Source organism: Homo sapiens, chromosome 5, assembly GCF_000001405.40.
Source record: "Homo sapiens chromosome 5, GRCh38.p14 Primary Assembly".
Lineage (NCBI taxonomy): Eukaryota > Metazoa > Chordata > Mammalia > Primates > Hominidae > Homo > Homo sapiens.
Window position 1 is genome coordinate 119188392 of NC_000005.10, and position 26549 is coordinate 119214940.

At 35.2% G+C, this 26549-nt stretch overlaps 1 protein-coding gene across 26 annotated transcripts in view; it reads left to right on the plus strand.

Annotated features, from left to right (window-relative positions):
• DMXL1 (Dmx like 1) overlaps positions 1–26549 on the plus strand; it is a 178101-nt gene that overhangs the window by 117365 nt on the left and 34187 nt on the right. For 15 of the 26 annotated variants that reach the window (XM_011543213.3, XM_017009145.2, XM_005271912.3 and 12 more), the window contains 6 exons: positions 1317–1495; positions 5437–5579; positions 7980–8065; positions 9364–9565; positions 14928–15045; positions 18443–18505. In XM_011543213.3, coding sequence (XP_011541515.1) covers positions 1317–1495; positions 5437–5579; positions 7980–8065; positions 9364–9565; positions 14928–15045; positions 18443–18505 — 791 coding nt within the window. The remainder of the gene's footprint in view (positions 1–1316; positions 1496–5436; positions 5580–7979; positions 8066–9363; positions 9566–14927; positions 15046–18442; positions 18506–26549) is intronic. The other 11 variants (NR_170869.1, NR_170867.1, NR_170868.1 and 8 more) reach the window with 1 other exon arrangement.

Genomic DNA, 26549 nt, shown 5'->3' on the forward strand with positions numbered 1-26549 from the left:
ACCTCCATCTCTTAAAAAAGACAAAACAGTAATGTTAAAGCCAAATGATAAATTGATATATTTATCTTAAAACTTAGCATTAAGTTTTTGAAAGGTAAAAAAATATCTCTATAGTTCTCACTTTTCACTTGATGAGAAGTTGGTAAACTACCGTTTAAGTTTTAGAATGTGTGTTAATGTATGCAGCAGTAATACTGGAAACTTGATTGTTGGTTATCAAATGTTAGTAAGAACAAAGAAAAAAATTTGCACATTTAATCTCACAGTTCCTTTTAAAATCATTTGAAAGATTAAGTAATAATCATGCCACTTTTTAGTAATCTCTTAGAATACTAATATTTTATTCATCTTTCCCTTTTTCTGAAATAACCAAATTACTTTGTTAAACTCAGCTTGACTATAGCTTGTTATAATGCATGTGCATGATGTGTCTGCAAGCTGAGACGCTTCAAACAATAAAACCAAATTGTATTACAGCACAAGTATTTGCATTCCTTTGGAAGGTGAGTAAAATCTCATCGGAGCCATTAAAGGAGAATATTGGTGTGCCTTAATGTGGAATTCTTTGCCTGTGTATTAGATCATGCCTTTGTCTGCAAAATCCTTGATTGTCTACTGATGATTTGCATTTTGTAACTCAAGGTTGATTAAAGATTTGTATAATTTTTTTAATGCTAATCTCTTTAGTATTCTGAGGTAATATACTAAAAAAATACTATCTAATTATAGAGTGTTCACAAAATAAAACAACAAAATTGCATTATTTTCTTCTTTGTAATTCCATTGACTGGAAAATTCTGTCTCTGAGCCGTTTCCGAAAGTTTGAATCAGTTTAAGTAGTTATGGTGCCTGAATTTTGTTTATATTTTCTAATGAAAAATATAGTTTTAGATATAAGGCCACATCATTACCGAAGAATCTCAGAAGGGAGTTGTTGCTTTTAATTAACACTGACATCCCATGATAATCTTTAAAAAAAAGCAAAGTAGAAGGATGTTGGAAATTTCCTATCGTGTTCCTAGTTAAATTGTGGACTGATTTATGGGCGGATATTACATCCTTCTATTTTTCACATACAATAGGTAAGTCAGCATTTAGAGAGTGAGGGACAAATTGAGGAAAAAGCAGAGGTTGCTAGACAGAAATGATTTTTGTCTTCCTCTACTTATTTTCTTACCTGCTGTGTACTTTCATAATCTCAATCTTATTTTTTTGTGTGTGCTTATTTGTAGTTAACCTTAGCTCTTATGTAAACACAGGTGAAATAAATGCAATGAAAATAGTACTTCAGTAACATTTTATTTTCTTTTTGTTAGTTTCTTCACTAGTTGAAGAAGGAGAAAAACAGAACAAACGTTTTAGGCCGTCAAAAATGTCTTGCAGAGAATCTGCCCCACTGACCCCTTCCTCGGCACCAGTAAGCCAGGAGTCACTGGCGGTTAAAGAAAAGTTCATCCCACCTGAGCTCAGTATCTGGGACTATTTCATAGCTAAGGTAATTAAAATGCTATCTAGATCAATATTTTCATAGTCAAATAGAAATGAGAATATCAGAAATAAGTGTCATTTTTGGTGCTTCCAAATGTTTTCCCACTTTGGTTTAGAAAATTTTCATTAGTATCAGGCTACATTCCAAAAATATATACCCTAGAATATTTTGACCATATTTCATATAGTTTTTAAGGCAGTTTTTTGGTAAATTATGACATTTGCATTTTAAACAATAGCTTTTGCATTTTATTATATTTCTTATAAGATAAAAGAGAATTTGCGTAACATCTTCATGTTAATGTACTTGATGGTGATTAAGGAATCAAAGTGCTCTGGTCATCTATTATCCATATACTCTTTTTTATACTACAGCAGTCTCTCATTATTCTGAAATCCATAAATTTCAATTACCAGTGTTAAGTAACATTATTCCCTCAACAACATGGTTCACATTTGTTACCACAGTGTATTAAATATGAGTAAACTTCCCTGCTAGCGCTTCATTCTAGAAATCACTTCGTAAATGTGCACTTTTTGATCAGTGACCAATCATGTCAGTTCTTTTAAAGTCTTTCAGTGATTGATTATGTAGCACCTGTTACTCAGTTCATACACAGCAAAGCATGCAGTTGTTTTGCTTCATCTCCTGTGATAAATCCATATGATAGTGTACAAAATTGGATTTGATCAAAAGAGGGAAATGGCCAACTAAGATGAAAGTGCATCCATAAAAAAAGTGATAGTACTGAGAGTGAAATTCAAGTTGAACATAAATGAAGTTAGAGAGAAAATAGCCAACTGTGGGTATGTTGACAGTGCTGCCATTTGAAAGACTCTAGATGAACAGCCAGAGGAATTTAGTGAAAGTGAACTTATAAATGTAGAAAGTAGTTGTGATAAAATGATGAAGATGTTCAGAGATAGTGACTTTGCCAAAAAACTTTACGTTAAAGGGATTCACAACATTGAAAATGCAAAGAACAGTATGTTGGAAGCTGATAAAATCTTAGAAATGTGACAGTTTGTTTAAGGCACAGAAGAAATGCTTGCTTCATATCCTGAGTTACAGAGATAGAAGGCAATTGCTATTCAAACTACTCTTGATAAAATGTTTTATTTCTTTGTATTCCTAATGTTTTAATTACAGTATGTTAAAATTAGTTTATTTAAAAAAACTTTTTCTATACATTTATAGCTAATGGTAAGAGTTTTTAGGGTTTTGACAAATATCTTTAAAGGTCACAAAACATTTGTAACTTTTCCCATTGATTATTATTGCTCTGTATAGTTTATGCGTGCGTGGTCATTTTTGTAGGCATGCAATACTGTGCAAAACAAGGACTGCCTATATAAGTATCTTTCACTTTTTGTGTCATCAGCCACATCCCTCACATTCTCAATTTCCAGACGTTCTCCTGCACAAATTGACATCTAACTGTAACTGTTCTCTGGTGACACAAGTCTCCCAGGCCTGCTGAGCTATGGCTTTTATTTTTCTCATATCCTAAATGTTTAAGGGTAGTGAAGGGAGTTTGGGTCTCCTTGTTCCTCACTGCCCTTTTTTGAGTCATTTATTCATTCATATATTCAACAAATGTTTATTAAGCACTTCATTTATCTAGGAATATCTTTATTTCACCTCCATATTTTGAAGGAGAGTTTTGCTGGATATAGGATTGTTGGTTAGCAAGGCCTTCTTTAGCTATCTTGTTTCTGAATCTTTTTGTTAAATATTTAGTGTCTGCCCTTCCACCCAATCAATATCACAACCTCAAAGTAGTTGAGATGTTACCTTCCCTAATTGTTTGTTACTGAGATCTCTGTTGCTTTTGATAATGCCTGTGGGCCTAGAATTTTAAAGACAATCCTGTCTGGCAGGGCATCAGAACTCAGTCTTCACAGCCTTCCCTGCTGACCCTGGTGGAACACCTACACCACAGAGATTGGGGTGGGATGGGAACAGCTCCTGACCAAGTTCTTACTGTTTTACCCAGATCAGATCCCATAGATTTTTAAAAATAAATACTTCTCTATGTGTTATATGCATGGGTCAACCATTGTTTGTTTTCTACAATTTTGTTCAATTTTATTGTTGCTTTTTGGAGAAAGGACTTACCAAGCTCTTTACTCAGCTGTTCCAGAAGTTCCACTCTCCCTGCTGTGTTTCTTTGTTGGTCTTCCAAGGTTTTCCAACCTTTTTTTCAAACTTCCTGCATCTCCCCTTCCATCCTATCCTCACTCTTAATTGATGACCTCACCTTGTAAGTCACTGAGAAAAATAAAATCAGACAAAACTTTTTCATCATCCCAATTTAAAGTTACAGATCAATTACATTTGCTCCTGTCTTATTTCCTCCTGTTATAATGGAGAAAGTCCTTCTATCAGACACCTTTTCTCGAGTTTTACTCTGAATTGCATTCTTTCTTTTCTTCTCTACTCTCCCCTGTGTTTTCAGTTCTCTTCCTCTCTGTTGAATCCTTCACATCAGGACAGAAATGTGCTTTAGTATCTCCCATTCCAAACCCCTGCTTTGACCCTGAAACTTTTTCCAGCTGCTATCCCATTTCTCTGTTCCCACTCACATTCAGCTTTTCAAAACTAGACACATTTGCTTTCTACTGCCTTTTTCCCCTTTCATACTTACTTATATAACTTTCTGACCCAGTTACACCCGTTAAAACTGATCTTGTTGAGATTCACGTGATATCCATGTCAAATGTAGTGGAAACTTTTAAATTATTTTCTTATCTGTCTTCTTAGCATCATTCAACATTCTTCACTACTCCCATATTGAAATGCTTTTCTCTCCTTTTCTCTTGATGACAATCTCTTGTAGCTTTTTTTCTTAAACTTACTATTTATTCCTTCATAATCTTCTTTCTTCATCCTTCCTCTTCTGTTTGACACATAAATCTTGGTCTTCATGATTTGGGCATTTTATATCGATTTTTCCCAAAACCTTCCCTCTCATACCCAGTCTTTCCATTTTATGAAATTGTATATTCACCCTTATAGTTGCTCAGGCCAAAAACCTAAGAGTCATTCATTTTTCCTCAACTTCTCTTGTTCTCCAAATCTATCAGCAGACCTGTTGGTTCTTTCTCCAAAATATATCTTAAATCTACTACTTGTCTCTAGCTTCATTACTAACCACCTATGTCCAACCTGCCAACTCCTGTTTTAGTTACTGATGTCTCCATTTCTACCCTTGCCGTTTAGCTTTTCTCTCATAAGAGAGTGATCGTAGTGATATACTTAGCATATAAACCTCAGTACCTGTCTTCTACGTACAACTTATTGGTGGCATTCCCTTACATTCCTTTACCATGGCCTACAAGACCCTGTCTGAGCCGTCATTTGCTATTCTCTCCAACCTTTCTCCCAGCATTTTTTTGCTTAGCAGACTTGATCAAACTACTATTTTCAAACCAAACTCTTTCCCAAACTCTTTCTGCATTATTTTTCCCCTGTCTAAAATGCTTTTCTTCCCTCTTATTATATGGCTTGTTCCTTCTTGTCATTTAGTTCTCGTACTTTTCAAAGAGGCCTTCCATGGTCAGCTTATCTCAATTCTCCTTATTCTCCATTTCTTTTCTTTGTAGCACATAATACAGTTTGTATTTAGTTTTCTGTTATTTGCCTATTTTTTTCCAGTAACATGTAAAAAGTAAATGAGGGTGGTGATTGTATCTGTCTTAAAAATTCTTAAATCCGGTAGAATTCTTGCCGCACAGTGGATACTTAATAAATTTTTGCTGAATGGATGAATAAATAATGGAATAGTATCAATTGATGTCAAAGGCATAGGATGGTAAGATAATAGTTACTTAACTCTCTTATAATGAAGTATCTGCAAATGAGATGAATTATTACTATTAGACTGTATGTTTGAATGTATTAAATTAGATATGTGGCTGCTAAATTTCATGATTTCTTTATTTTAGCCTTTTCTACCCTCTTCTCAAAGTAGAGCCGAATATGATTCAGAGGAGAGTCTGGGAAGTGATGATGATGACAATGATGATGATGATGATGTTTTAGCATCAGATTTCCATCTCCAGGAACATTCTAATTCAAATTCATATAGGTATGGTATATTTTATTTTAAATTTCTTTTTAAAAATAATGGTGTATATAAATAATATTTTTGAAAAAATTACATGTGAAATTAATAGCTTGTTGACTTTATAACACATTATAACCCAGATTTCTTTAGTTGAAATTGTTAAATTCCTTTCCTTAACAATAATTTCTCTGTTGACTTTATAACACATTGTAACTCAGATTTCTTTAGTTGAAATTGTTAAATTCCTTTCCTTAACAATAATTTATCACATACCTTTGGTTGTCCATTAATGGACCATCCGTAATTTGCATCATTCCTCACAGATCTTGCTCCAAGATTATACCTTGCATTTTGGGCTCTAACATAAACAAGTTCTACTGTTTTTGTCTGGAAAATATATTTTCAGTAGAACACTAGTACTATAAGATGTCAATAGGTACTATCTTCAAAAAGTACTCTGTATGTCATACACATGTTCTAAATGCTCACCTCTAGCTCCAATACTGCGTTATTCTTACATTCATGAATGATGGAATATTATCTAGTCTCTATTGATATGTTTACATCTAAAACGTGTATGTTTTACTAAAACATGGTATGTTAATGGTGTGATAAAAAATGTGAATTTTCCAAAAGAAGTAAATATATGAGGGACATTGAAGTCATTCTTTATTTGAAAGTTACCATGAGATTTTTACTTCCTGGTTTATTGAGGTTTTTCCCCCTGCTGAATGAATTTTACTTTTTGAATATATAAATCATTTAAAAGTCAAACTGCACAACTCAACAACAAAAAGGTAAATAATTAAAAAAATGAACAAAGGGCTGGGCATGGTGGCCTATGCCTGTAATCCCAGAACATTGGGAGGCCGAGGTGGTCAGATCACTTGAGCGCAGGAGTTCAAGACCAGCCCAGGCAACATGGCAAAACCCGATCTATATTTCTAAAAAAAAAAATTTTAATGAACAAAAAACTTGAATAGACATTTCTCCAAAGACGATATGAAAATAGCCAATAAGCATATGAAAAGATGCTCAATATCATTAATCATTAGAGAAATGCAGATCAGTTTCCCAATGAGACAACATCTCATATGCATTAGGATGGCTACCAAAAAAAAAACAAAAACAAAAACAAAAAAAATAACAGTGCTGGCAAGGATGAGGAGAAATTGGAATCTTTGTGCACTTTTGGTGGGAACGTAAAATCGTGCAGCAACTGTGGAAAACGGTATACTGGTTCCTTAAAAAGTTAAAAATAGAATTACCATATGATCCAGCATTTCCACTATGGATATATACCTGAAAATATTGAAAACAGGGACTGAAACAGGTATTTGTACTTCCCATGTTCTTAGCAGCATTATTTACAGTAACTGAGGGGAAGAAACAATCAAGTGTGTTTTAACAGATGAATTACTAAACAAAATGTGCTATGTACGTTCAACGGAGTATTATTCAGCCTTAGGAAGGAAATTCTGACACATGCTGCAACATGGATATAATGCTAAGTGAAATAAATCAGTCACAGAAAGGGTTATAGTATGTGATTTCACTTACATGAGGTACCTAGAATAGTGAAATACATAAAGAATAAAAATAAAATAGTGGTTTTCAAGGGCTGGTGGTGGGGGGAGAATGGGGAATGAATTTAGAGTTTCAGCTTTGCAAGATGAAAGGAATTCTGGAGTTGGATGGTGGTGGTGGTTGCACAGCAATGTGAATGTACTTAATGCCCCTGAACTATAAACTTAAAAATGGCCAAAATGGTAAATTTTATGTTTTTGTATTTTACCATTAAAAAATTACTAAAAATTCAATCCTTTAAGAAATAAATATGTTCCACTTGAAATAAAAGAGAACCTGACTTTTTTAAAAATCAAACTATATAAAAATGTGAAATCACAAGTTTTACTTAAACTTCTCTTTACTCTATCCAATTTCTTCTGCACATCCTCTACAGCTAACCACTTTTATTAGCTTCTGGTTTATCCTTCTGTTTGCAAAAATAAGCAAAAGCATCTATCTAAATTTATTCCCCCTGCTTTCTTGCAGAGAGGGTGGCATACTACATACAGTGTTCTGCTACCTGCTTTTTATTTATTACTACATACCGAAACTGACTCCATATTAACACTTAGAGATCCTTCTTCATTCTTCCTTATGGTTACCCTAATATTCCATAGGTCAAAAATAGTTATTCAACAAGTACTCTCCTCATGGACAATTTTGGTTATTTCTACACTTCTGCTATTGTAGATAAAGCTGACATGACTACCTCTATGCATATATTATTTTGTTTTCATAGAGGGGTATGTTCAGGTTGATTCCTGATAGTGGAATTTGTTGAGTCAAAGGGTAGTATACTCTTCTAAATCCCTATAGAAATAGTTAACAGATCCATCGTTGCTTTATTTTTAGTTGGTCCTTGATGCGGTTGGCGATGGTGCAATTGGTGCTCAACAATTTGAAGACTTTTTATCCCTTCGCAGGTCATGATCTTGCAGGTAATAAATAGCTCAACATGAGCTAATGGTGCCATTGCTTTTGACTTACTACTCTGTTGTTTTTTTTTTTTTTTTTTTGGTCTGGACTGGGGGGAAAATTTAGTGATTTCCTGTTACAGAAGTTAGATTTCTTTTAACTAAACCAACCATCTGTAAATGTATCCGTCATACTGTTAGGTGCTTGAGGATGGCAACATCCAAGAAATCAAGGGCACTGAATGTGATGTGATTGACTGTCTTGAGACTCTATTTATACTCTAGCCAAGTGTTGAGGGATTTTACAATGGAGAGAAAACTAAGCAAATGCAAAAGCTAGCAATTATTAACTTCAAAGGAGGAAAAGATTGTACAGGAAAGAAAGGGGCATGATAACATACTAAGTGATTCTGCTATGAACTATAGTTCCCTATATATGATAAGGTAAACACAAAAATACCAATTTAACCAAAGATTTTTATAAGACACTATCATAATGATGGACAGAGGAGTTTATTCTCATTATGCCGTAGTAGTAAATCAGTAGGTCATTTCTAAAATTGAAAAATTAAGTATTAAGCATGTTATTTAGATATAGGGAGGTAAGTAGTAGGAATAACTAAAAGTTGAAACTGAGATCAGTACTCAAGAGTATGGATGGGCAGAACTGCTAAGTGCTGAGTTCCATGGCAAGTATTATTTAATTTTAACTTTATGTATTGTTTTCATTTTCTACAGATCTTAAAGAGTTATATGCCATACAGAAATTAGTCTGATACAAATTAAAGCAGGGGTGTCCAATCTTTTGGCTTCCCTGGGCCACACAGGAAGAAGAATAATTGCCTTGGGCCACACATAAAATACATTGATACTAACAATAGATGATGAGCTAAAAAGAAAAATCACAAAAAATTTCATAATGTTTTAAGAAAGTTTATGAATTTGTGTTGGGCTTTATTCAAAGCTGTCTGGGCCGCATGCAGCCTGTGGGCCATGGGTTGGACAAGTTTGATTTAAAGCGATTAATTTTCCCCACATACATATTTTCATAATCTTCAGATACATTTTTCTGGTAATATTAAGGTCAAAAGCAGTAATGTTGAAATACTTACACAGATTTATGGCATACCTTTTGTAATCCACTGGGTTTCTTTGCCCACCTCACCTTGCACATCTTCCCTGCCAAAGTGTATGTTAATATTTCATCTCAGTCTTTTTTTTTTTCCTGCATCTGCTCTCCCCTCTCTCATTTCAGTCTTTCTTAAAATTGAATATGGCATTTTACTGCATAAGATTAATATGAGTCAATGTTCCCATTTTAGAGCTTCCAGTTAGTTCACCTCTTTGTCATGCGGTTCTAAAAACTCTTCAATGTTGGGAACAAGTTCTTCTCCGACGACTTGAAATCCATGGTGGGCCACCTCAAAATTATATCGCAAGTCATACCGCCGAAGAGAGTTTGTCTGCAGGTCCTGCAATTCTTCGCCACAAAGCTTTACTGGAACCTACAAACACTCCTTTCAAGTAGGTTTTCTTATGAATGCTATTTGGGTTTTTTTGTTTGTTTGTTTTTTGAGATGGTGTCTCGCTCTGTCATCCGGGCTGGAGTGCAGTGGCACAATCTCAGCTCACTGCAGCCTCTGCCTCCTGGGTTCAAGTGATTCTCCTGCCTCAGTCTCCTGAGTAGCTGGGATTACAGGCGCCTGCCACCACGCCTGGTTAATTTTTGTATTTTTAGTAGAGATGGGGTTTCACCATGTTGGCCAGGCTGGTCTCAAACTCCTGACCTCAGGTGATCCACCTGCCTCGGCCTCCCAAAGTGCTGGGATTACAGGCGTGAGCCACCGCACCTGCCCTGAATACTGTTTTTAAGATAGGAGTTTTACTTTTTGTGCTGTACATTCTTGTCATAACTACTCAACCCTGCCATTGTAGAATAAAAGCAACCATAGACAACATGTACACAAATATATTCAGTTTTTGTCCAATAAACTTTATTTCTTAAAATGGTAGGTAGGCTAGATTTGGACTGTGAGCTATAGTTTATTGATGCCTGCTCTAGAACGATGCTTTTCAAAATAGCTGGTCACAAAAGTGTTAAGAGGAAAGTTTATAGCACTAAACAACAAGCAGTCAACAGATTCAGCACAATTCCTGTCAAATTACCAACATCATTCTTAACAGAATTAGAAAAAAATTATTCTAAAATCAGATGGAACCAGTAGAGAGCTGGAATAGCCAAAGCAATCCTCAGCAAAAAGAACAAGGCATCACATTACCTGACTTCAAACTGTACTACAAAGCAACAGTAACCAAAACAGCATGGTACTGGTACAAAAATAGACAAATAGACCAGTGGAACAAAATAGAGATCCCAGAAATAAACTCACATCGTGAGGATTTGTTCTACAAATTATTTCATCACTCAGGTAGTACTAAGCCTGGTACCCAGTAGTTATTTTTCCTTTTTTGGAGACAAAGTCTTGCTCTATTAATCAGGCTGGAGTAGAGTGGCACAATCACAGCTCACTGCAGCCTCCACCTCCTAGGCACAAACAGTCCTCCTGTCTCACCCTCCTGAATAGCTGGGATCACAGGCACACACCACCATGCCCAGCTAATTTTTTGTATTTTTTGTAGAGACAGGGTTTCACCTTGTTACTCAGGCTGGTCTCAAACTCCTGTGCTCAAGCAGTCCGCCTGTCACAGCCCCCCAAAGTGCTGGGATTTTAGCTGTGAGCCACCATGCCTGGCCCCCAGTAGTTATTTTTGTGATCCTCTTTCTCCTCCCCACTTCCCCCTCAAGTAGACCCCACTGTCTGTTGTTCCCTTCTTTGTGTTCATGAGTTCTCAACATTTAGTTCCCACTTATAAGTGAGAACATACAGTGTTTGGTTTTCTGTTCTTGTGCTAGTTTGCTAAGGATAGTAACCTCCAGCTCCATCCATGTTCCCACAAAAGATGTGATCTCATTCTTTTTTATGGCTACATAGTATTTCTTGTATCTGTACCAGATTTTCTTTATCCAGTCTGTCACTGATGAGCGTTTAGGTTCCATTTCTTTGCTATTGTGAATAATGCTGCAGCGAACACTTGTGTGCATGTGTTTTTTATGGTAGAATGATTTATATTACCCTAGGTATATACCCAGTAATGGGTTTGCTAGGTCAAATGATAGTTCTGTTTTTAGCTCTTTGAGGAATCGCCATACTGCTTTCCACAATGATTGAAGTAATTTACACTCCCACTGACAGTGCGTAAGTGTTCCCTTTTCTCTGCAACCTTCCCAGCATCTGTTATTTTTTATAAATAATCTGTTATTTTTAAATGATAACCATTCTGACTGGTGTGAGATGGTATCTCATTGTGCTTTTGATTTGCTTTTCTCAAATGATCAGTTATATTAAGCTTTTTTCTTAGGCTTATTGGCACGTACGTCTTCTTGTGCAAAGTGTCTGTTCATGTCCTTTGCCCACTTTTTAATGGTGGTGTTTGTTTTTCTTTTTTAAATTGGTTGAAGTTCGTTATAGATGCTGGATATTAGACCTTTATCAGGTACATAGAAAGTATTTTCTCCCATTTCTGTAGGTTGTCTGTTTACTCTGTTGATAGTTTCTTTTGTTTTGCAGAAGCTCTTAAGTTTAATTAGATCCTATTTGTCAATTTTTGCTTTTGTTGAAATTCCTTTTGGGGTCCTTGTCATAAAATCTTTGCCTGTTCCTGTGTCCGGGGTGGTATTGCCTAGGTTGTTTGCTAAAATTTTTGTAGCTTTTGGTTTTACATGTAAGTCTTTAATCCATCTTGAGTTGATTTTTGTGTATGTTGCAAGGAAGGCATTCAGTTTCAATCTTCTGCATTTGGCTAGCCGGTTATCCCAGCACCATTTATAGAATAGGGAGTCTTTTCTTGATTGCTTGTTTTTGTCAGCTTTGTCAAAGATCAGATGGCCAGAGGCGTGTCACCTTACTTCCCAGTTCTCTATTCTGTTCCAGTGGTCAATGTGCCTGTTTTTGTACCAATACTGTTCTGTTTTGGTTACTGTGTTTTTGTAGCATACATCGAAATCAGGTAATGTGATTCCAGTTTTGTTCTTTTTGCTTAGGATCGCCTTGCTATTCAGGCTCTTTTTACGTTCCATATTAATTTTAAAATAGGTTTCTCTAGTTCTGTGAAGAATGTTGGTGGTGGTTTGTTAGGAATAGCATTGAATCTGTAAATTGCTTTGGGCAATATGGCCAGTTTAATGATATTGATTCTTCTTCTCCATGAACATGGGATGTTTTTTCCATTTGTTTGTGTCTTATCTGATTTCTTTGCACAGTGTTTTGTAATTATTGTAGAGATCTTTCACCTCCTGGTTAGCTGTATTCCTAGGTATTTTATTCTTTTTGTGGCAGTTGTGAATGGGGCTGCCTTCCTGATTTGGCTCTCAGCTTAGCTGTTGTTGGTGTATAGGAATGCTAGTGATTTCTTGTACACTGATTTTTGTATCCTGAAACTTTGCTAAGTTGTTTATCAGATCTAGGAGCTTTTGGGCTGAGACATGGGGTTTTCTAGATATAGAATCATGTTATCTACAAACAGGCATAGTTTTACTTCCTCTCTTCCTATGTGGATGCCTTTTATTTCTTCCTCTTTCCTGCTTGCTCTGGCCAGGACTTTCAATACTAGGTTGAATAGGAGTGGTGAGACAAAGCATCCTTGTCTTGTGTTGGTTTTCAAGGAGAAAGCTTCCTGCTTTTGCCCATTCAGTATGATGTTGGCTGTGGGTTTGTCATAGATGGCTCTTACTATTTTGAAGTATGTTCTTTCAATACCTAGCTTATTGAGAGTTTTTACATGGATTGATGTTGAATTTTATCAAAAGCCTTTTCTTCATCTATTGATATAATTATGTGGTTTTTGTCTTTAGTTCTGTTTATGTGATTCATCACATTTGTTGATTTGCATATGTTGAACCAAACTTGCATCCTGGGAATGAAGCCTACTTGATCATGGTGAATTAGCTTTTTGATGTGCTGCTGGGTTTGGTTTGCAAGTATTTTGTTGAGGATTTTTGTGTTGACATTCATCAAGGATATTGGCTTGAAGTTTTGTTTTTTTTGTTGTTACTTCTGCCAGGTTTTGGTATCAGGATAATGTTGACTTCATAGAATTAGGTGTGAAGGAGTTCCACCTCCTCAGTTTTTTGGTATAGTTTTAGTATGAATGGTACCAGCTTTTCTTTGTACATTTCGTAGAATTTGGCTGCGAATCCATCTGGTTCTATGCCTTTTTTGGTTGGTATGCTATTCATTACTGATTGAATTTCAGAGCTCATTATTAGTTTGGTCAGGGAATCATTTCTTCCAGGTTCAGTCTTGGGAGGGTGTATGTGTCCAGGAATTTATCCATCTCTTGTAGGTTTTGTAGTCTGTGTGCATAGAGGTGTCCATAGTAGTTTCTGATGGTTATTTTTATTTCTGTGGGGTCAGTGGTAACATCTCCTTGGTCATTTCTAATTGTGTTTATTTGTATCTTCTCTCTTTTCTTTTTTATTAGTCTAGCTGGCAGTCTGTCTGTCTTACTAATTTTTTCAAAAGACCAACTCCTGGATTCGTTGATCTTTTGAATGGTTTTGTGTGTCTCAATTTCTTTCATTTCAGCTTTGATATTTGTTATTTTTTATCTTCTGCTAGCTTTGGGGTTTATTTGTTCTTGCTTCTCTGATATTTTCCATTATGATGTTAGGTTGTTAATTTGAGATCTTTCTAACTTTTGATGTGGACATTTAGTGCTGTGAATTTCCCTCTTAATGCTGCCTTAGCTATGTCCCAGAGATTTTGCTAAAGCATACCTACTTTTGTTAGATCCTATGGCCCTAGGTTAGGGATCAACAAACTATGGCCATCCCCACAGGTGAAATCCAGACCTCTCCATGCTTCTTTAAATAAAGTTTTATTGGATTATAGCCATAAATCCTCTCAATTGCATATTGCCAGTAGTTGCTTTCCCACTGCAAGTTGACAGTCCCTAATTCAAATCTGAAATGCTCCAAAATTCAAAATTTTTTGAGTACCAACATGATGCTATAAGTAGAAAATGCCACATATAACTATTTAACACAAACTTTGTTTCATGCACACAATTATTAAAAATATAATTTCTCACCTTCACTGCCTGTAATGCCAGCACTTTGGAAGGCCGAAGTGGGTGGATCACCTGAGGTCAGGAGTTCAAGACCAGCCTGCCAACATGGTGAAACCCTGTCTCTACTAAAAATACAAAAATTAGCTGGGCATGGTGGCAGGTGCCTGTAATCCCAGCTACTCGGGAGGCTGAGGCAGGAGAATCGCTTGAACCCAGGAGGTGGAGGTTGCAGTGAGCCAAGATCGCCCTGTTGCACTCCAGTCTGGGCCAAAGATTGAGATTCCATCTCAAAAATATACATACATATATATATATATATATTTTTATATATATATATATATATATTTATATATTTTTATATATATATAATTTCTTACCTTCAGGTTATGCATATAAGATGTATATGAAACATAAATGAATTTTTAATTTAGACATATATATTCAAATATTTCAAAATCTGAAAACATATGAAATTCAAAATACTTCTGGTCCCAAGTACTTTAGTTAAGGGATACTTTACCTGTACATTATCAGACTTGAGTAGTTGTGACAGAGACCATATGGTCCACAAAGCCTGAATTATGTACTAATCCTTTAAGGAAATCCTTTAAGGAAAAGGTTGGCCATATGATCTGCCTCCAGTCATACAGTCTGATTGCAGTTAATTTATTATAATTTATATGGCACCAAGGAATTGTTATCAAGTTAGTCAGAAATTTCTGAAGTTTATCATTAAATTTGCTGTCTCTCTCTGTAGATCCAAACACCATCTGGCACTGTCTGTGAAGAGGCTTTGGCAGTATTTGGTGAAGCAGGAAGAAATTCAGGAAACCTTTATCAAAAATATATTCACAAAGAAACGGTGTCTAAATGAGGTCTGTATAAGTTAAAACCTGTTTACTATTTTATTATTGAAGTCTTTTATATTATCATGTAACCATTAAAATGAGTTGTATTTTACAGATTTTTTGAAAACACGTATCATAAACATAGGCAATTAATGCTTAGAACAGTGTAATTTATAAAAGGGGCAGTATTTTCATAAATCAATTTAATTAATTCAAATGTATTTGGGACTTTTTTCTCGATAAAAATGTTTAATATTCCGCATCTTGTTTTGAATTGTCATGATCATCAATTTAAGAGACAAGATAGAAATTTTCTATGATTTTCATGTGACAGTTAAAAGAAGTCTATCTTAGAAGTTTAATTGTAACTTAGAAGTTTAATTGTATACTGAAAATTTTTTATTTATTTATTTATTTATTTTTTCTTTGGAGATGGAGTCTTGTTCTGTCACCCAGGCTGGAGTGCAGTGGTGCGATCTCAGCTTACTGCAAGCTCCGCACCTCCCAGGTTCACACCATTCTCCTGCCTCAGCCTCCCGAGTAGCTGGGACTACAGGTGCCCGCCACCACGCCCAACTAATTTTTTGTATTTTTAGTAGAGACGGGGTTTCACTGTGTTAGCCAGGATGGTCTCGATCTCCTGACCTGGTGATCCACCCGCCTCAGCCTCCCAAAGTGCTAGGATTACAGGTGTGAACCACCACGCCCGGCCTGAAAAATTTTTATTGTATTTATTTATCTTTTTTGAGATGGAGTCTCACTCTGTCACACAGGTTGGAGTACAGTGGCACCATTTCAGCTCACTGCAACCTCTGCCTCCCAGGCTCAAGCGATCCTCCCACCTCAGCCTCCCTAGCAGCTGGGACTGCAGATGAACGCCACCATGCCTGGCTAATTTTTTGTATTTTTGGTAGAGACTGGGTTTCACCATATTGCCCAGGGTGGTCTTGAATTCCTGAGCCCAGGCGATCTACCTGCCTTGGCCTCCCAAAGTGCTGAGATTACAGGCTTGAGCCACTGCACCCAGCCAACTTTTTAAATATGTACATTTTCTTTTCTGTGGATTATGCTTAAATTAATGAAATTTTACAAACCCAAATTAACCTGTAGTGTAACTGGTTGCTTATACCTTGATATTATCATAATGGGTTTTTTTTTTTTTTTGTCATTTAGTTTAGTGCTAGTAATAAATATCAGTCTGATGATATGGGGAACTTGTTTCTTTCATTGGGTAAGTTTTGTTACTAAAAAGTTCAGGTGAACTGAACAGTAGATGCAGTGATGTAGTCAATTCTTTTTGTCTCCTGGACTGGTAACGAAGAGTTCAGAACTGACATTTGGTATGTGAACCACATTTTGAGTAGCATTGAACTAGTCTGAAAGCAAGCTTTGTACAGTTTTTGAAGTTGGAGGAAACACTGAAGATATTTCAGTTGAAGAAATAAATTGAATGGCTTCACAATAGACAAGTAAGCAAAAAGCAAGATTGACATCTAACCTTTCTACCTTAAAGGAAAATTACATATATATCTCATTGTCTCTCAATTTAAGCACCAATTTTAAGTGGAAACTGTATATGCTGTTATTTACTATTTGCCTCATTTTGTAAATATATTCAAATCGACCAAGTCAGGAAATAGTATGTAGTGTTCTTGCTGACTTAGAAGACTTTTGACCTGAGTACCTTGGTGTAATATTGAAATTTAGACAAACATGAATGTATTTCATTTGTTTATTTGATCTTTTTTTAAAAAAATTGACATATTTGATTAATCTTAGAAAAATCTTATTTTTCTACTGCCGATATATTTGGGTATTTGGGAAATGAAGTAGTTCTGAAAACAATACAAAAAAACTATTGAGCCATTAGATTGTCTAGTTGATTCAGGAATAGACTCATTAAAGAAATAGAGTAGTATAGTCAAGCCAGAGTACGTAAACATAGCAAATAATAAGTATAACTACACATTTTAAAATTTCTGTTATTCTTTGGAGTTTCATGATATCTCAAGAAAATTTTAAAATTATTTTTATTGTAATTATTTTAATCAGGAGCATGAATATGAATGTTGGACTAACAGTTTTGTGACTATCAGTAAGCTGAATATTTTCTCTGAATTTTGTTTTTTTAATGCACAATGACTATAATAGCCCTTACTTTGCAATGTTTTGATAAATAGATTTAACTTATTTAAACCTTGACACAATTAATGGTAGTTATTAAAAGTTTGTTGTTATTGCTTTGTTGTTTTATTCTTGATAGTGATACTCTTAAAATAGTGTCTTTTTGATAGAGAATATGAAAAGAAAAATGTTACATAGTAAAGCATAGATTTGAATGGAATTAAATAGAATATAGAGTTTGTGTGAAATTAATCTTTACCGGAAAGGTTACTAGCCTATTTTTAGTATTAACAAAATCACCTTCCATCTCTTATTTTTCTAAAATGATGATTATGCTTAAATATTTTAGTCAAAGTCACTGTGATTTTCCAGATGGTTAGGAGATACATATATGACAGGCCCTGTATTTTGGATGGCAGGTGATGGGAGAGTATTCTGAGAACTGCTCTTTCTTTATTTCTTTATGTGTTTGAAAATGAAATTTTACAGTTTCTTCATCTGACCCTAAAATCCTGGTTTTCTCAGATCTTTTCTTTTCCTGTTTGGTAAAGTTTACTGGTACCTGTGTTTTAAAATAGAATGTCCTCCCTTTGTATTTAAATAGAAAGTACAGACAACTGCAATTAGATTAAGTCATTCTTAATAAAAAATTGGGACTTGACAACTCCCATCATTGTTCCCAATTCCTTTTTCTGTTTTTTTTTGTTTTGTTTTGTTTGAGTTTCTGAGAAGAACTAAAAGTCTTGGAACAACTCTTTCTTTAACAAGTACTACTATTCCCTTTTAAGAAGTGTATGTGCTTCCCAGCAATTTATTGACTATTTCTGGCTTCATCAGTGGAAGAGAATTAGATACATGTAGAAATTGAAATTTTCTAATCAAGAGATTTTCCTGAAGGTTCAGATGTGGAGATAAGACAAAGCAGCGAGTAAGAGAATAATTCGACTTTGTTCATAGTACTCTGACACCAGTAGCTCTGATTATTTTAATATAAAGTATTTTGGTTTCAATCGTGCTTTAATGTCAACATTTCGAAATTGAGTAAAAACTTCTTAGGGTTAGAATAAAATTTATAGTGGTAGTTAATGAGTTCTGAGGGATTAAGTTTTGCTCATTTCCTAACCATGCACCCTCACACATGCTTCTTATAAGGTGTATGAAATTTTGAGAATAGTAACTCCATATAATGTTCTTTTCTAGTAAATTTGGTTTAAAATATAGCATTGAAACAATCCCCAGTATTTTGCATGTTACATCTCATCTTTACTCTTTGTCATGTGGTTATTCTTTCTTGATGAAGTCATTAGAGGACAACAGTGAAACCATCAAAAATTCTATGATGGAGGAGCCAAACATCAATAAGGTACAAAATATCATTCAACTGAAATTAAAAATTGCATTCTTTCACAAAAGAACAAAGCATTTGCATTTTACTTTTAAACTGGTCTTTGTTTCCAATGGATTTAAAGTATTGTTCCCTCAAATTATTCTCCTTTTATTTTAACAACTTAAATACTGCAGTTGTAAAAGTGGTTTCTGTTTTGTTAGATAAGAGAATGCAATTTTAAAGGGAGTTGAATGTATCTTGTTTTGGCTACAAATTTTTCTGAGTAAATACAACTAAAGTTCTTAATACATGTGATTACAATAGCAATTGTCTAGTAGTATTGTTTTAATTCTGCAAATATCACTTCTGAAGTTAAAATTCAAATTAGGAATTAATGATACTAAAATTAGGAATTAATGATATTAAAATTAATGATATTAAAAAATTCAAATTAGGAATTAATATTAATTCCTAAAAATATAGTAAATACTGTTACATAGCATTTATTTTACTGGTAGCAATAGCATGTAGCAAAGTGCCTTAAGAGGATACATAGTAAGTACTCATGGTACTTGAGAACCAAAGCACAAAAGATGAGAATCTGTATAATTATGAAAAAACTCCTAGGCGTCCTGTGATTGCATATTCAACTATGACTATATTTTATTTTATTTTTGAGACGGAGTTTCGCTCTTTTGCCCAGGCTGGAGTGAAGTGTCACAGTCTTGGTTCAGTGCAACCTCTGCCCCCCAGGTTCAAGCGATTCTCCTGCCTCAACCTCCCTAGTAGCTGGGATTATAGGCGCCCACCACCACACCTGGCTAATTCTTTTTGTATTTTTAGTAGAGATGAGGTTTTGCCATGTTGGCCAGGCTGATGTCAAACTCCTGACCTCAGGTGATCCACCTGCCTTGGCCTCCCAAAGTGCTAGGATTACAGGCGTGAGCCACCGCGCCTGGCCAATTCAACTACGACTTTATGAGGTTAATATTTAACTCATGTTTTTCATATTCTATATTTAAAACAATCTCAGCAGTGATTTTTAAGTGAAAAATTGCTCAAAAAAATTTTTAAGGTTACTAATTTCTACCCCTTATTCTTTCCAATGGGAATCCTTTGGTAAAATAGGAGAAATAATTCTGTGCAATTAATTAAAAAGCCTGATTTGATATCAGGTGTATATTATAACTAAAACTTTTGCAAAATAAGTCTGTATGTCATTCATACTTTCAAACTATCTAGTGGCCTTTGGGGGTTTTGAGGGAATATAATTCAAACTTTTAATCAGTTAACAATTTTCCTTGCCTGGGTTTTGATGATTACTTATTACTGTCTACACATTATCAGGAATTTTTTTTTTTTTTTTTTTGGAAACAGAGTTTCACTCAGGTTTCCCAGACTGGAGTGCAGTGGCGCGATCTCAGCTTACTGCAAGCTCCGCCTCCCGGGTTCAAGCGATTCTCCTGCCTCAGCCTCCCGAGTAGCTGGGATTACACGCATGGGCCACCACATCCAGCCAATTTTTGTATTTTTAATAGAGACAGGGTTTCTCCATGTTGGTCCGGCTGGTCTTGAACTCCCAACGTCAGGTGATCTGCCTGCCTTGGCCTCCCAAAGTGCTGGGATTACAGGTGTGAGACACCGTGCCCAGCCACATATCAGGAATTCTTATACAAACATTTTTGTTTTGATGCTGTTTATAAAATGCTAATAATCATAATGTTGTATTTCTATAGTCAGCTTCATGCTACGTCAAAATACAGTCTTTTTGAGGGGAGGGTTAACATCATTTTGGCCAGCATTTTTCCAAGCCCACTGCTATATAGTTTAAAAAAAAAATCTTTGTAAGGTATGCCTGACCTAAAATAACTACATATATTTAAAGTGTACAACTTGTTCAATTTTGGCATGTATATACACTAGCGAAGCCATCACCACAACCAGGATAATGATTATATCCATCAGTCCCCAGAATTTAATCCCTCCATTTTTTTTTCTCTCCCACCTGTGCCCTCTTCCCCAGGCAGCTACCAAACTTTTTCCTGGTGTTAAAGATTCATTTGTTGTTTTCTGGAATTTTATGTAAATAGAATCATATAATACATCATTTTTGGTTTATAGTCTGTGTCCATTGACTTAGCATAATTATTTCAAGATTCATCTATGTTGTGTGTTTTAGTAGTTCATTCTTGTTATTTTGATGCTTATTACATTATATGGATATACCATAGTTTATTTACCTGTTAATGAACACTTGAGCTGATTTTATTTTGGACCTATTCCAAATAAGACTGCTTTGAATATTCATGCAAAAGTCACATTTTATGGAAAAATGCTTTCATTTCTCTTGTGTAAATGCCTAGGAGTAGAAAGACTGGATCATGTGTAGGTATATGTTAAACGTTTTGTGAAACTATTCAAATATTTTCCAAGGTGGTTGTACCATTTATGTATATTCTCAATGGATTGTGTACGAAATCCCATTCTATTTTTTTTTTTTTTTTTTAAAAGGCAGGGTCTCACTGTGTCTCCCAGGCTGGGTGTAGTGGTGTGATTGCGGCTCACTGCAGCCTTGACCTCCTGGGCTCAAGCAGTTCTCTTGCCTCAGCCTTCTGAGCAGCTGGGACTACAGGCATGCATCACCATGCCCAGCTCAATTTTATTTTTTGTAGAGATGGGGTTTCTCCATGTTGCTCAGGCTGGTCTCAAACTTCTGGGCTCAAGCAGTCTTCCCACCTCAGCCTCCTGAAGTGTTCGGATTACAGGTGTGACCCACCATGCCCAGCCTTGCATCACATTCTTACCAACAGTTGGTGTGTAGTCTATATTTTCATTTTAACCATTCTAGTAGGTATGTAGTAGTAGTTCATTGTGGTTTTAATTTGCATCAAGCATCTTATCACATGCTTATTTGCCATTTGTCTATCTTTCTGCATGAATTGCCTTCAAATCTTATGTTTATTTTGTATTAGGTTGCTTGTTTTCTTGATTCAATTTTAACAGTTATTTGTATGTTCTGGATAAAAGTAATTTATCAGAAATGTGATTTGCAAATATTTTCTCTTACTCTATGGCTTGTCTTTTCATTCTGTTTACAAGGTGTTTTCATTTTATTTATTTATTTTTTAAGCAAAGTCTTGCTCTGTTGCCTATGCTGGAGTGCAGTGGTATGATCTTGGCTCACTGCAATCTCCACCTCCTGGGTACAAGCGATTCTCATACCTCAGGTGTGCACTAACACACCCGGCTAATTTTTATATTTTTAGTAGATGAGTAGACTGGGTTTCACCATGTTACCCAGGCTGGTCTCAAACTCCTGGGCTCAAGTGATCTGCCCACCTCGGCCTCCTAAAGTGCTGGGATTAGGAGCGTGAACCACCGCAGCCGGCCACAAGTTCTTTTGAAGTGCAGAAGTTCTTAATTTTGATGATGTCTAATGTATTAGTTCTGGTTATTCATTTTCTTTTGGGTGTTGTATTTAAGAAATCTTTGCCTAACCTAAGATCACAAAAACTTTCTCCTGTTCTAAGTGTTTTTGAGTTTCAGTATTACATTTAGGTCTAATCCATTTCAAGTTAATTTGTTTACATGGTGTGAAGTATAGACCTCAGTTCTTTGTTACTGTTGTTGTTTTTGCATCTGTATGTCAATTGTTACAGCATTATTTCTTGAAAAGATTATCTTTTCTTTCACTAAACTACCTCTTTCACCTTTTCAAAAATCAGTTGACACAGATGAGTAGGTCTAATTCTGGAGTCTGTTTTGGGCCATTGATCCATCTTTATGGTAATAGCTCACTGTCTTTATCACTATAACCTTATAATAAATCATGAAGTCATGTATTGTAAGTCATTCAAATATATTATTCTTCTAAGTTCTTTTTTCTTTTTTCTTTCGTTTTTTTTTTTTTTTTTTTGCCTTATCACTCTGACTTAGAACTTCCAGTCCAATGTTGAATAGAAGTGATCACCAGCAGACATTATTATCTTGTTTCTGATCTTGGGGAAAGCAGTCTTTTATTATTAAGTATAATGTTTTCTTTAAGTTTGTTGTAGATGCCCTTTATAAGTTTGAGGACGTTTCTTTGCATTCCTACTTTGTTAAGAGTTTTCATAAGGAAAGGATGTTGGATTTTATCAAATGATTTTTTTTTTTTTTTTGCCTACTATTGAAATGATCATCCTTTTTTCTTTTTTAGTATGATAGGTTAAGGATTTTTTTAAAAAATGTTAAACCAATCTAGCATTCCCAGCATAAGCTATACTTGGTCGTGATGTGTTATCCTTTTTATATATAGTTACATTTGATAAAATTTTAAGAATTTTTACATCTATGTTCATGAGGGATATTGGTTTGTAGTTTTCTTACAATGTTGTTTGTGTTGGTCTCAGATTAGTGCTAGACTCTTAGAATGAATTGACGAAGGTTCTGTCCTCTTTAATTTTGGGGAATAATTTTTATAGAATTAGTGTTATTTCTGAAGTGTTTGGTAGAATCCTGAAGTTTTTTAAATGACAAATTTAATTTCTTTAACAGATGTAGGGCAATTCAGGTTTATCTATTTCTTAAGTCAGTTTTGGTAGTACATGTCTTTCAAGAAGTGTACATTTCATTTATGTTGTCAAACTTACTGGCATAAAGTTATCATGTTGCCCTATTAAAATATGTGTAGAATCCATGGTGATGCTGCCTCTCCTTCTTCTGCTATGACTTTGAAAACCAAATTATGTCTTCTTTAGTATTTATATTCCCTAATATTTGGGGTATTGACACCATTTTATGTTCACCTGATTGCTTCCTATTTTCTTTCAGTTATGCCTTCGGCATTCTTTAGATATCATTTTACTTCATATTTGTGTCATTAGAGTGGCAATGAAGTGTTCCAAGTACACAACCTTATATTGTAGGTTTTAGTAAATGAAAATCACTACTGACTACCCAGGGTCTCAGTCACTTTTTCCATGGATCTGCTGTATGACCTTTCACTTCTTCCACTCTTGGAGCCTCATTTACTGACATGTAAAATTAGGGCTGATAATTTTAAACCTGTTGCTTCTCTAATTGAAATATTCCGTAGGATCCTGGTGTTAATCTATTGTAACTATCTCTTTCTCCTCCAGCTTCTAAGGGCAGCTCTGTGGAACCCAAGCAATGTTCAGATCAGTTTCTGCATAATTCCTTTTTGTGGTAAAATATAAATAACATAAAAGTTACCATTTTAACCATTTGTAAAGCAGCCCAGTGGCCATAAGTACATTTACACTGCTCTGCAACCAACACACCATCCATCTCCAGAACTTTTTCATCCTCTCCAAACTGAAACTTTGTGCCCGCTAAACAACAGCTCCCCATTCCTCTGGCGCCCACTCCAGGCAACCACCATTCTGCTTTTTGTATCTATGAATTTTACTATCCCTAGGTACCTCATGTAAATGGAATTGTATAATAGTTATCCTTTTGTGACTAGTTTATTTCACCAAGCATAATGTCTTTGAGGTTCATCCATATTTTAGCATGTGTCAGAATTTCCTTTCTTTTTAAGGCTGAATAGTATTCTAATGTATGTTCATACATTTTGTTTATCCATTCGTCAGTTAGTGGACATTTGAGTTGTGTCTGTCTTGGTTATTGTGAATAATGGTGCTATGAACATTGATATACAAATATCTGAATCTCTGCTTTCAGTTTTTTGGGGTATATACAGAAGTGGAATTGCTAGATCATATAGCAATTCTGTGTTTAGTTTTTGATCTGCATAATCTCTTTAAATCTCTTTTAGCGTTAATATTTGGATTCTTTTTTCTTCACATGTCCAGCCCAATCAAAGCATGAAATCTTTACAGAGTGTGACTTGAAACTTTAGGAGATCTTTTAAGACCATATTCATTGTGATTTTTTTTTTAACTATAATGTTATGTTGTGAGGCCTTTAACAAATAAAATTACATTCATAGCACATGCAAGTTCTGTCTCTATTTTTAGCTGACTGTATCATGTTCCTAGTTCCTTCCCTTCCCAGCTTAGATTTCATGATCCATCATGGAATCAATCAGTCACTTGCAAACATCCTTATCCCTGTTCTTCCTACTTGCCTTGAAAATTCCCAAACCTTCTTAAACCCAACTTTTTGTCCTATTCTGTGCCTGCACTCAAGCAGCTGAACATGTTTGGAGGAAAAGCACAAACCCTGGAGCTTGCCTCACTTTACATTTATTAGCACAAATCCAAAATTAATATAAAACTACCCTGCAGTCATAATAAATTGCTCTGTAGCAAATTTGTTTTTTCATTTTCATTTTCATACTTTTTCCTTGTTTCCTGAAACTTCCAGTATTTGTTTCCTACTCCCCACAGATCAATATATTTTGCTGTCAAAATAAGTGTAGTCAGCAGTGATTTAGCCTAACCTGCCCATCATCATCTAATTTCTGCTCTGTATGCAGATATTTTCTTCTGCCTCCTCTAACAGAGTGAACTGTTACCCTTTTTGTTCAAGGCCAGAACTTTCACTTGTGCACAGTTCTTATCTGCTTTCACCTACCCAAGAACTTGTCTTCAGTTCTTAATAACTGAAGCCCATCTCCCTCTCTCCTTGTCAATAAATGTTTACCTCTCTCAAATTATTCTCATTAGCATGAGCAAATATATTTTAATGTTTTGCCTTTAAAAAATACTCCATTTCTCTAGTCTCCTATGTAGCAAAATTCACTTAGAGTTGCCTATAAAGTCCTTCAAGATTTAAACAATAATGTTGAAACACCATAAACAAACCACCCAGCTTAAGAAATAAAACATTATCAATTCAGTTGAATGTCTCTGTGATCCTTTCCCCGTGGACTCCCCTTCTTATTCACCAGATATCACATTCTCTCTAATTTGGTTATTATCTCCAGCCCACTCCACTGAGATTGTCCTAGACACAGTCACCACTGACTTCCAGTATACTAAATTTAGTAGTCAATTATCTATCTTCATATGATTCAACTTCTTAATAATCATTTGGTAGTGTTGACGCATAACATTTTTCTAAAATTGTTTCCTCACTTAGTTTCCATAATATCAAACTAATCTATTTCTTATATTAGCTAATTGATAACTACTGAATTGTCCTTTTTCCCATCCTTGAAATATTGGTTGCCCCAGAATTCAGTTCTCTAACTTTTTATCTTTCCTGTCTTTACTCTCTCCTTGGGTTATCTTACGGTTTAAATATTAATATAATTTGTATGCTGACAACTCTCAAATCTCTCTCAACTAATTTCCCGAACTCCAGACATTGCCTGCTCCGAACCTACTCCCTACTGTTTCCTTCACTTCTGTCCATCTCAGTAAATGGTACCTTTACTCACCCACCTATCAGGCCTGACACTAGGATTCATCCTTTTTCTTTCCTTCTTTTATTCACACTATGATTACAGTCCATTAACAAAATGTATCCCAATTCCAGCCACTTATCACTATCACCATTCCTACTGCCCTAATCCAACCCACTATGATCTCTCACTTCAGCTACTGTAGTCGCCTTTTAACTGGTTTTCTGATAGTCATTCTCAAACCCTTTATGTTTTATCTCACAGTAGCCTGGCTTTTCAAAATCCACCAATGGTTTCGCTGCCTTAGAACAGGATTTGAACTCTTTATTATGTCTTTTAAGGCCCTGCAAGAACTGAACCTCTACCTTTATCTCCAATCTTATCTTCTGCCACTTATGGTCATTCACAAATTTAATTTAAGACTTCTGAGATACCACTATTTCTTTGACCCACCCCCATGACATTCTGATTATGTATCTGACATGGGGTTCAGAGTATTTGTATTTAAAAAAAAATCACCTCAGTTGATTCTTATTCAGGTTATCTTGACACCACCTTACTGAGAAACAATGTTTTTAGTAAATAATGAGGACAGGAATGTATTCCTACATAGAGAAAGGTTTTTTGAAGTTCATACCTGCAGGAGCTTTCTTCCCAAACTTTACATGTAAAGTTCGAAAAAGCTCCCCAGGTGAAACTGGTATGATGCCCTATCCAACCATTACCAGCAAGTGGCACATCCCTCTATTCCATGGAGCCATCATCTTT